The sequence below is a fragment of the Homo sapiens genome, chromosome 2 (genome assembly GCF_000001405.40).
Source record: "Homo sapiens chromosome 2, GRCh38.p14 Primary Assembly".
NCBI lineage: Eukaryota > Metazoa > Chordata > Mammalia > Primates > Hominidae > Homo > Homo sapiens.
The window spans coordinates 191,936,745-191,948,823 of NC_000002.12; the positions used below are offsets into that span (position 1 = coordinate 191,936,745).

The 12,079-nt window shown below is 38.0% G+C and overlaps 1 long non-coding RNA gene across 1 annotated transcript in view; it reads left to right on the top strand.

Annotated features, from left to right (window-relative positions):
- The window catches only part of CAVIN2-AS1 (CAVIN2 and TMEFF2 antisense RNA 1), a 217,342-nt gene that overhangs the window by 90,257 nt on the left and 115,006 nt on the right, over nucleotides 1-12,079 (top strand). The gene's annotated exons all lie outside the window — the stretch shown is intronic.

The window sequence follows — 12,079 nt, forward strand, 5'->3', positions numbered from 1 at the left end:
AGGTTTTGGTAAACGATTCCTTAGGAAGAGTTCTTTGTTTCTTTTCTTCTCTTTCAAGTGTACAACAGGATGGTCAGCAAGTCTAATCCTGCTGATCGTAAGGCCTTTAATGAGACATAGGGCAGCAGGTAGTCTAGATTTCAAAAGGTACATACTATTTAGGGCTTCATAGACTCAGAGTCAAACCTAGAATTTGATTGTCTAATGTATGAGTATCTAGGGTAATTCATAAAAAGTGGACAATTCTCCCAGGTAATGTAAACACTATTCAAAACATTAAGCAATGTGCTTTGTTTCACCACCTTACTACTTGGCAAGCTTTTGTTAGTATTGTACAGGTCCTTGGGTCTCTTTGTTTCCTAGACTATATTCAGCCTTCAAAAGTGATTAGGACATGCGACTGATTCTGTAATACAGCATAAAACAAGGCAGATTGTGCTTCACACAGGATTATCCTTCACTGCCAGAACACCCTGCTGCCAAAATGTCAGTGTGGTGGAGTCCTTGGCCATAATAGCTATGGCCATTGTAGTGCCCAGATGAGATTTTTCAAAGGCTGTGCAAAACAGCCGCCTTACCAAACCTGGTGTTTGTGCTTTCAGACTTGGATCCTCATTACCCCTTTCCCTAGGCCTCCCAAACCCCAAACTCAAGAATGGAAAAAAATCAAGGAAATGCTAAATTGTAGATTTCCATAGTCAGAAATTATTTATTTTGATAGCTTGATTTCAACTGGAAAACCATGGTGATATTTGTTAAACAAACAAACAAACAAACAAAAAAGGAACCAGCAACTAGTGTGTATTATTCATAGGTAGCTTGGCTTCAGAGATTTCCTTGCAGTTTGTTTTTAGAGCAAATCTCTGCTCAGAAGTAGAAAATGCATGGCTAACATTCTGCCTCAATTCCCATGTACGCAATATGGAAGTCCTTGCAGTTGGCACATCCCTTTATAGTTAGCTAAGGTTGTCCTTGCACTGAATTTGTTGTCCCTAATATAGTTCTGTCCCCATTGCCTCTTTCTGGAATAGTTCATTGGACCCAGGACAGATTTGAATGGATCCAATTCACAATAACAAACACAACATGATATCTGCTTGGATTTCTAGTTTACTTTTTTTATACCAAAGAAGGAAAGAGTAATCAAATTTTAATAATAAATGTGCAAACACATAATAGTAACATATACAATTAAAAACAGTTTTATTTCCGGTAGTATCTTATGGATTTTTTCTCTCTAGCACATTTTGGGTCTGACAGATCCAGGGTCTTCTACCTACTAATCATTTTAACTATTAACAAGCAGGCTTTTATTTATTTGAAATTTTAAACCAGGCGGGGGTGGAAATGCACATCCTTAGAATTAGGTAATTTAAAATGGCTTTTCCTCATTTCACCCCTCAACTCTTCCATATGACATCAAAAGCCTGGTTGATGAATGTTGTTGCTGGTGGTAATTTATTCTGAATACATCTCTTTCATTTATGGCTGATCTCATGGAAGGAAAGGTTCATTTTACACCTTTTACCTCAGTAGCTTTGGAAGTACGCTTCTTAGATAACATTATTTTTTCTTTTTTTCTTGAATCCCTTCACATGAATGGCCAATGATAAAATCAGAGCCTGTGTCTTCAACAAATGAAACAGGACTAGGTGCCCCTTGTTCCTTTATTCCTGTCTAGTTTTGTGTTTGAGTTTTATTCTACATATCCTTTCACTTTTTAGCCACTCTGATCTCTGCCAACAAGAGCCACTTAAAAAGTTTTCCTTCTTTGAGTAAAGGTCAAAAATAAGTGATATTAATAAGAAATAAAACGAGAGCACATTTGCATTTTGACAATTGTAAGGATGTATATATGACGTCTGAAAATTCCAATAATGACTTGACAATCATTGATTTTTTTCTGAATGAGCTTTAGGATGTGCCTTTCTTTGGCAATCAAGGTGGTCACAATACATTGTCCCCTCATGCTGCTTTGTACTAAGTATTGAAAGGATACAACGAGAGACAAAGGAAAGAGAACAACATTTACAAATGAATCTTAGAGTTGGAATGCCTTTCAGTGGCAGCAAATCATTTTTAATCTGACAGCTCCTAATTACATAGATTGCAAGATAAAATGCACCTAACAAGTGTCAGACTCACGTGAGTTAAAAAACCTGGTGGGTTGCAAAAGGCATTTGATGCTCCTAAACCTTCCTGAAAGTGAATGTCCTTGAAAGCTCTCATGGCAGTGAGTTAAAGAGCTCAGCTGGGGGGTCTGCTGACATGTTGTAATGACTATAATTTATAGCACACCAGCTCCATACTACCCTTTACCCCAGCAGGGTGTTTCCTGGAAACTGGTATGGCTTATGGAGAATTGGAAGGAAGAAAGAGGAAAGGAAAACATGACTCTGAGGCCCTTTTAGCTGCTTCTGTACTGTTAGCTTACACTTTTGGGGCTCCATTTAGAGACCAGTAACTTTCATACTGAACATATCTTATTCATCTTCTGCTGATTAATGTCATAATGGCATAGTTACGTTCTTGACTGGCATAGAGCAGTCATATCACACAACTTGGAAGAAGCTTGGGGATGACTTAAATTTCACCCATTTATTCATTCATCAAGTTTAATTGGGCACCTACAAAATGCCAAGAACTGTTCTTAGAACTGGGGTCGTATCAACTAGACAGGCTTCTTGATCTCACGAAGAGTAACATTCCTTGGGCGTGAAAAGGTGTAAGAGGGAAAAGATCCAAAAGAAAAAACAACTAAACATACACATGAACAAGATAATTTCTGATATGATATCACTTATAAGACTCTGAAGCTATCTTGTTTAGCCTTTTTCCCTGGCAACTATACTTTAGGCAAGAAGAACTTTGTGTGTGGTTAAGTTTGTTAAAATTGGGAGAATGATGAAGAGGCATGAACAGAAAGGTAGAAATTGAAAGACAGCATCCTTATAATATGTTAAAACAGGCATTCTGGTGTGGTTCATAAACTATCTCTGAGGATAATTTCCATAGCAAAATTTCAAAATAATTGAAGCAATTGCACCATCATTGGAGTAAAAATTTGGATGCCAACATGTAACTTCAAAAGATGTATTATTTCTTCAATTCTAGTATAAAACAGAACATAAAAAAACAGCATAATATGGTGGAGCAGAATAGATTTTGGTTTGATTTGGGTTCAAATCTTGGCAGTGGCTCATCCTGACTCTGTGACCTTTGCCACATTATTTGCAACATTACCTGTTACTTTATGTCATTTCATCCTAAAATTGGCAAAATAATAAAATATCTGGGAATTTTTATAAAAAATAATCAAAATAATATTTAGAAAGTGCCCCAAACAATCCCACTCCTATATAGGATGAGTAGGAGGTTCATACATGTTCCTGTTTTTATCCTTAGTCATAAATTATAATTTTATATACATTACACATTATTACAATCAATAAACCATGATATCAATTCTTAAAATCTTCAAATGCAGCTAGAGAGACAAATTCAGTGCTTTAAGGACAGCTTCATTCCATTACTATCAGGTCAAATAAAGGGTTTCATGTGAAATGTAAGGCGTTTTGATTTTGTGTATTCAGGATCAAGCCTGTCATACTGTTCCTTTGAGTATGGCCACTATTCAAGTCATAGCTTTTGAGGCTTTTTGATATTGTGAAACAACAACTCAATGAAGGATCAAAGGATGGAAAATTGAAGGTTGATTCATGCATTTTAGAGTAAGGATGCCTTATAGCATCGGGCACAATATGAAAGAGCCAGTGCCAGGGAGATGATAACTCGGGAGAACAGAAAGACCTTGATTTCAAAGGAGCAAACAAACAAACAAAAAAAAATCAAGAACTTAATCTCTCTAATGCCTCAGATCCTGACAGAAAAATTTACAATGATGAAAGAAAGAAATAAAATACAGATGACTGGAAAAATTTCCCCCACAAACTGCCAAGTGACCCTGTACTATCTCCAGACTTTCCAAAGATACCTTTGAAAACCTCTCCCACAGAAGCCTTCCTAAATTTAAGGACTTGAAAAGGTCGGTACATTTAACATTTTGTTGCAAAATAAGTGGGCAGGGATTATGAAGTAAAATAATTTTGTATTATATACCATGCTTGCACATATTAAATGCAATTCTTGGTTAATGATTTCTGGTTAATGATTCTTTTATAAAAAAGTGCTTGGTATGTTATAGGTATCTAGTTTATTAGGAATAGTGTTTAGAAGTATTTCTGAAGAAGTTAAGTACTGAGCCCTGAGTTAGGAATGTGATTTTTTTTTCAATATTCTGAAGATAAGATCCAATTTGCTTAATTTCAATTTATAATCCTTTCTTCCAAATGCAATCTGCTCTAAGATCTTGTTCTTCCACGCTTTTCCTAGGTGCTCACAGGTTATCTTGTTTTCTTTCCCTCCTTCAAAGCCTTTTCTCTACCTATGGTATCTGGTGCTTCTATGTACTAGGTGAAAAAAGGTTGACGATGTGGCAAAATGAAATTGCCATCTTTTGTGGTTAGCCAGTGCAGTGAGTGTTCAGTCCCCTTGAGGTATTTTTGTGCAGCTTTTTAGAGAAGCATTTTCACGTCCCCACTGAACTGATAACGATGAAACTTCAATCCCTGTTGCCTTCAATCATTTTCTCATTGTGCCAGCTCAATGAATTTTCTTCGACTCCAGTTCTGGCACCTGGTCTGGCAGAGGCGGAGAAAAGGAAAAATTCTTTTGGGGTGGTTTGCAATGAACTTCACTTTTAATTCTCTGTTAATGTGCATTCTGAAGTCCTATTCAGAGAAAAATTCTGTTCATGTTTGTGACAAAAAGCAGGATGCAGAAAAGTGACAGATGTAAGATGAGAGAAGGGGCAGCCTTTAATCATCTTGTTGTCAAAGCAGCTTTGGATTGCCCTTTAAAGAAAGCGTTTTCTTTGCTGCTTCTGGAAAACTGGAGACTCATTCTCTTGCCCTTTGCAGATTCCTTACCCAGAGGGTTAAACTCCACATTGTATGCCAAACTTCAAAACCCTAGATCTTTGCTACAAAGCAATCCAGTTTATACATTCACATTTCAAAAGAATTGGATTCCTTTGCTCTAACTAGATAAAAACTCTGGTGACTCATTTTACACATAATTCTGAGGGAAGTTTACACATAGTCCTGACTCAGTTTACACATTATCCTGATCCATAAAAATATATGGCAAATCTCAATGACTAAAGAACTCATTTTCATTTATGATTGGACTAGTTACTTCATGGAGAGGCTAAGTGTTAAAGCAGGTACTGTTTACAAAGCAAAAGCCCCTTCTCCCTTAATCCCTGTGTGACTGTAATTAAGCAGGAGAGTTAATTTTATGTAAATCATGCATTACTGTAATTGGGCACAAGTGAACATTCATGTACATCTTATTTAAAAGTGAAATATAATGTTATTTTGAGGATGCTGGTGTAGCAAAGTCTCAATCCTCTGGGGGGAAGCCAGCAACATCACTGGCTGTTTATAAGACTCACTCTTTAGTCTGTGAGCTTAATTACAAATCACCCAGCTCTGTTTAGCACTATTCTGTGAAGAACGAGTCACGTGCCTTTGGAATAGCTGAGAAGTGGAACACTGGGGCTTCCATTCCTATTTCTTTCTTAACCTCCACTTAAAGAGCAGTCATTTTTCTCTTTCTACTCATCTTTTCAAACCTAAACAATACTTTCCAATGGTTTGCTCCGCTTGGCAGTTCTGACCCATATATCCCCAGGCAGACTACAGATGGATTTGTCTTCTACATGCAGGGGCTAGTCTGCTTCCTTTTTTAGCTTGTCTTTTCTAATGCTTCTCAGGGCTGCTTTATAACCCTAGGATTTTGTTTTCCAGGAGTAGCCAGATCAGATACTATCCAGCAGCCTGCACTTGTGATTGCTACAGCACCTCCACATCCCTGGGAGGGAGGGCTAGCCTCTGGGTGGAGAGGATGAGCCTTTCTTTTATTCTTTATCTGGAGAGCAGACCTAGTGCTTTGGGACAAGGTTGCCCTGCAGAATATACAAAATCTAATTTACATATCTTGAGGTCAAGATTTGTAAGGAAGAAAATATGCACATGACAAAACTTTTATTTTAAACATATTCTCCTTCTCACCCAGAGTCCTGAAAATCATTTTTTGGAGTTGTGCCTTGGCCTGATTCTGCCCAGCCTGCCAAGCCAGCTCCTCTGCCTGCAAACTCTGTATACACAGAAGGTTAACCTTCTCAGACTTCGGGGCAAGAGGCCTTCCCAGCGATGCCACCTTTCTGCTCCCTGCTTTCTTGCTGTCATTTCATAGTCCTGAAATCCTGATCAGATATTTTAGACTCAGTTCTTCTAGAAGGATTATTTGAATGGACAATCTCTTACATTCCTCTTCCCATAATTGCCCTCCTCCTACAATTCAATAGTTTGTTATCTTCATTCCTTTCACCTTTCCAGGGCTTCTGATTTCCCACTTAGCTCTTTCCGGTTCACTTTCTTTTTTCCCCCATACCATATATTGTCATTTCTCATGCTGAGGGTGACTTACAGGAACTGTCATTGGTGAAGAGGTTACGGATGTGAACAGATGAAGTAATTTCTAGCTAAGAATTTTGTTTTCCCCGCAAGTGAGTAGTAAGGAGATAAGTGTGTTCTTTAGTGGCCATAACATTTTCTCTTCCTCTTGGTTCTTAGAAAAAGACTCCTTTAGGTAACATGTAGTGAAGCCTGTTAGTAGAATTCAGTCTGTCTTTGCTGAAGTAATTCTTCCAGTAAAATTCAATGCCATTTTGTATTAGCTAACTTCAGCTCAGGTAATGGGTAGCAGCTATTTGTATATTACTTAAAGGAATGTACATGATTTTTTTACATTATTTTTAATTATTCAATTTTATGTTGTGTTTAGGCTTGAGAGTTGGTTTGAGTGCTTTTGAATATTATCAGGTGTTGCATTTTTGAATAAATAGAAGTAAAAATATGTACACTTAATGTCATTGCTGTTGTTGTTCAATGTTACACTACTTATACAAACTCCTGGTTCTGAACCAAGCTGAATGCCTTAACTAATGGCAGTGAACAGCTCTTTACTCATACTGTGCAAGGCAGAGGAAGAGACATCAGTGGGGAAGGAGAGCTCCAGTTTGAGAAAAATAACTCAGCTTTGAGGCTAGCACCAATTATGAGATGAGTTTAACTTAAGTGTGAACTGGTGAAAGAATGGCAGCTTCAGCATAATGTGTTGTGAGCATGCGATGGTTAAGTGGCAAAACCCTGGGCTTCTCCAGCTTAGGGATCAGAGGAAGAGACCTCCACAAGGTGAAAAGAGAAGAAACAAAGCATCTTTAGAGTGAGTGGGGGGAAAAACTGCCTTAGCATCTCTGGATCTAGGTAGATACGACTTAGGCACAGGGATAATGAGGGAGAAACTGTCAATAAGGTTTCCATGCTTTATGGGTACACTTTGGACAGATGCAGAGCATGAGACTGAGAATGCCTTCAGCTGGCATGAAAGTGCGAAGACAAAAGGCCCCTTTTAAGTAGTATGTGAGATGGTGGAAGGAAAGGTAAAGATGCAGTGCAATAGAGATGATCCTCAGCTAAATTCTTTAAAGGCCTCACTGACTCGTAACTGAGAGTGATTGAAATGTACACAAAAGCTACACTGTATATGTGTAGTTTGACAAATTATGCTTAATAACTATTAAACTTCATATTCTTTAGTGAGGATTCAGTTTATTAATAAATTATTTTGTCTTAGAAAAACTCAACATATATTAATATATTCATATAAATTATTTGAAACGATATACACAAACACCATGGTGCTTTTCTCTTGGTGGTGATACTATTTTATGCCTCCGGCTTATCTATATTTGCTAATTTTGCCAGTTAATAAAGTAATAAAGTGTTACGTATGTAATATATTTATTAATTATTTGATGTACTTCATGATAATTTGGGCTTTGTTTTCATGTCTAGATTCATTAGAAGGCCCCTGTTTTCAAGGTCTAAGTTCATGGAAAAGAATGAAGCTAGATTGTGGCAGAGAAGGGCTATAATGGAGGATGGCTATTGCATGAGGTGAAGAAAAAAGAGGTGGTTATTACTTCGAGAAAGAGAGAAAGCCCAATAAGGGGAGACATCCATAGAGAGGAAGGGAATAAAGCCCTCTCAAAATACAGCCAAACCCAAAAGAATGGGTTTGACTGTGTGGGTCTTGACAGACGCTGCCTCGGGACGATCACCGTGGCTGAGCCACTCGTGTGGGGAGTTCCTGTGATGGATCAGGAAGACAGGGAGGTTTAGCCATGGCAATGGGACCACTGAGAACGGAGGGTGGGGCCTTGCTCCTGTTCGTCTCTCCCTTTCCCCTATAATACCTGATTTGGAACTTCTCATTAGTTCTGAGTTAGGTTCTTGTCCTGGATTAAATTTGGCTTGGAAAAATAAAATATTATTTCTTTCATTTCTTACCTGATACAAGAGAAAGAGTAAAAATTAATTAAAAATTAAAAATGTACAAAAGATTCAAGTTAAAACAACACATTTAGTATTACTGGAAGTAGATATCAACCAAGGTGCCATACCCAGAGTGGAGGTGTCAGTAGATTTCTGTCCACGGTGAGGCTGGAAGGAGGCTTTGAATGTGCTGGGTAGCAGGTGGGACATCACACATAACTTCCTGATGTTGATTTCAAAGGTTCGTATTCATTTGTATATTTATGCACTTGTTATAAAACCCACCCCATTACTTTGTATCATCCTCTGTTTCTCCTTTATCCGTCCTTTATGTGAGCTTCCTGAGGATGATCGTATGCATGTATCAATTAATTCAGTGAAAAACCTTTTATCATTGATATTCAGATGATTAATTATATAACTAACACGTCTACTGTAACTGGGGAGGAACAACAGGTGGTGCAGGGGTTGCATAATTTTGGCAAAGGGAAGGAGCATCTGAAGACAAACATTAGTAGAGAGTCTAATATGACATAGAGATAATCTCTGTCATATTTCAATAGTCTGCACTGATTTCTCCAGGATCCATGCAAGGGAAGACTTTGATCCTGCAAAGTCACTGCAATATTGACTCACTCATTCCCTGTCTGAAATCACACAAGAGGTTTAATGGTATGTGCTTTATCAGGATAGACCTATTTTAAAGTAGCAGAATGACCCCCTCTTATTCAGACACAATACCAGTGGACCCATTTGAAAAAGAGAATTAGAGATGCTGTGTTGTTTCTTAACTCTATATTGTCTTATTTTCCAGAACCAAAACCAGCTCTCTTGTCTTCAAAGAGATGAGAGATGGTTTTTTTTTTTTTTGAGTAAGGATAACTGCTTGATTCCTTCTGTGACCATATGATTCCCCCATGATGCAATATTTAACTGATGAAATGTGGTTTCTTCTTATTTATTTACTTTTACAACACTTATTTATCAAATCTCTATAAAATAATTTCCATATATTGGAAGTTCACTGTGTGCATGTCACTATTCTGAGCACAAGTATGGATTGTCATGTTCATTTCTCAAACTAGTCATATTCGACATGGAATATATTTTTTTCTCCATTTAAAATATGAGGCATAATGAAGTTAGGCAACTAGCCCAAGGTTAGTTAGTAAAGTGAAGCTTAGACTGGCAGTCATATCTGCCTTGCTTCAGAGGCCAAGTTTTAAACATTATGCTCACTTTGGAGGCACCCAGTCCTCACTCACTACCCAGTCACCTTGTCCTATTTTTAATTCTTTGTGTAGAACTTGAAACTTTTCAGTTTTTTTCTTTTTTTATTGTTTGATGAACCCTCTCCCCTCATGCACCTTCACCTCCTCTGCTGAAATGTGAGCCCGTGAGCAGAGACCTGTTAGGCACTTTATTGCTACATCACAGTACTTAGAATAGTGTCTGGCATGGTGTAGTATCCAATAAATGTTTCTTAAGCAAACGAAAACAATTGGCAAGGCACTGATTTTCTGTTTTTTTGTCACTCCTTTGCTAAGGGAAAAACAGACTTGCATGGACAATTAAGGAACAACATGAAAAGCACTATAAGATAATTAGGAAGATGGCCAAGGGAGTCAGAGGGGCTTCACTGATAAGCTGTTATTTGCTCTGGGTTTTGTGAAGAGAAGGGTGTGAAGAAAGCATGAGGAGCATGTAAAATATCAGAAGCAAGAAGTCAGAGTATGTGTGGAGAATGATGAAGTCATTCTGTGTTAAGAGGACACCTCTCCAGCCTTGCAGTTCCTCTTTCAGGGTCCCCAAGCACTCTGAGCTGACCAGTATCAGAGCCTTTGTCACATTCTTCATAATTTTTTTATTTACTTCTCAGTCTTCCCCATAGGACTGTGAGATCTCTGATGCAAGGAACTGGGATGTTCTGATGGTGAACTACTTTCAGGCAGGGACTCTGCCTTATTTATCTTTGTCTTTTTGTAACTTAGCATGGTGCTGGTAACTGAAGGCCCTTGGTAAATTGATAATAAATGTATAATGAATGAATGAGTAAATGAGGGAATGACATGGCTTATTAGCAGTTTATTTATTTATTTGTTGAGACAGAGTGTTGCTCTTTCACCCAGGCTGGAGTGTAGTGGCGCAATCTCGGCTCTCTGCAACTTAGCCTCCCAGGTTCAAGTGATTCTCTGCCTCAGCTTCCCAAGTAGCTGGGACTACAGGTGGCGCCACCATACCTGATTAATTTTGTATGCTTTTTTTTTTGTAGAGATAGGGTTTCGCCATGTTGGCCAGACTGGTTTTGAACTCCTGGACTCAAGTGATCCACCTGCTTCGGCCTTCCAAAGTGCTGGGATTACAGGTGTGAGCCACCACGCCTGGCCATTAGCAGTTTACTTTAAAAGGATTTTGAATTTAAGTTGAGGATAAGCAATAAAAGTAGTTAATATGGTCCTTGGTAGCAATAATATAAGTATAGTGCCTTTTTCCTGAATATATAGAATCTTGATAGAGAGACAGAAGTGATCTTATGGACGAAGAAACTGAGATCTGAGATATGAAATGGCTTGTTCATGGTTCCACAGCAAAATTGCAGGTCTAAGTAGAACATGAATTTAAGAATCACAGCTCTCAATTAAACTTGCTTTCTACAAGTTCTGCTATATAGCGTGCTGGTCAGACAACTGTAGTAGACTGTGCAATTCTGAGCTCTACACTCAAAGAAATATAATGATAAAGGAGAATTTGTCCAAGGAAGGATGATGCAGATGCTAGGGGGATGTGGAAGTGATATCACATGAAGAACAGATGAGGAAATTAAGGATGTTTCACTTGGAGATGAAGAGAGTTGCAGGAAGGCTGTGGGGTGAATGGGAAAACATGATTTCTGTCTTTTTATTTTAAATTCATAAGTCATTATTCCTTTGCTCCCAAGAGAAAAAATAGGAGCCCTGGGTAGAAACCACGTAGAAATAAGCATCATCTTGATATAAGAAAGAATTGTCTGAAAAATTATAATTGCCCAAGGATGAAATTCCAGATTATCAGAAATATGCCAGTAGAGGCTGGGTGATTATCTGTTAGTTCTAGATTGTGAGTTTTTTTTTTTTTTTTTTTTTTTTTTTAAAGCAGAGACCATGTTTTATTTGTATTTCCCTAGGACCTTAAATAGTGCCTCTCACATAGTATGTGCTCACTTAAGATTGTCATGCATCTTTTAAAAGGAATTCCTTCATGGGTTGGGTGAGCATGGAAATGGGCAAGAGTGTATTGTACTATGAACTCCAAGGACTTAGGTTTATGATCATTTGATAAAAATTCACATACAGCAATGCATCCATATCTAACAAGTCAAATCATTTCACCCTCCTACAAGCAAGAGTCAGTGGAATTTTTTCTTTTAATCTCTATAAGTCTCTGTGGATGTTGCATTTTTTCCTCTTCCTTTATGGGGAGGAAGGGTTTCTTTGTCACAAGTATCTTACAAAGGAGACCCTGGCTCGTTACATCTTTCTATCTGTTAACCAAACTAAACTTCCACGAAGAAGTTGAAAAGGAATTTGTCTTGTACAGGTGGTATAGGGCAGATTTATGGGAACATTTGAGTGATGGTT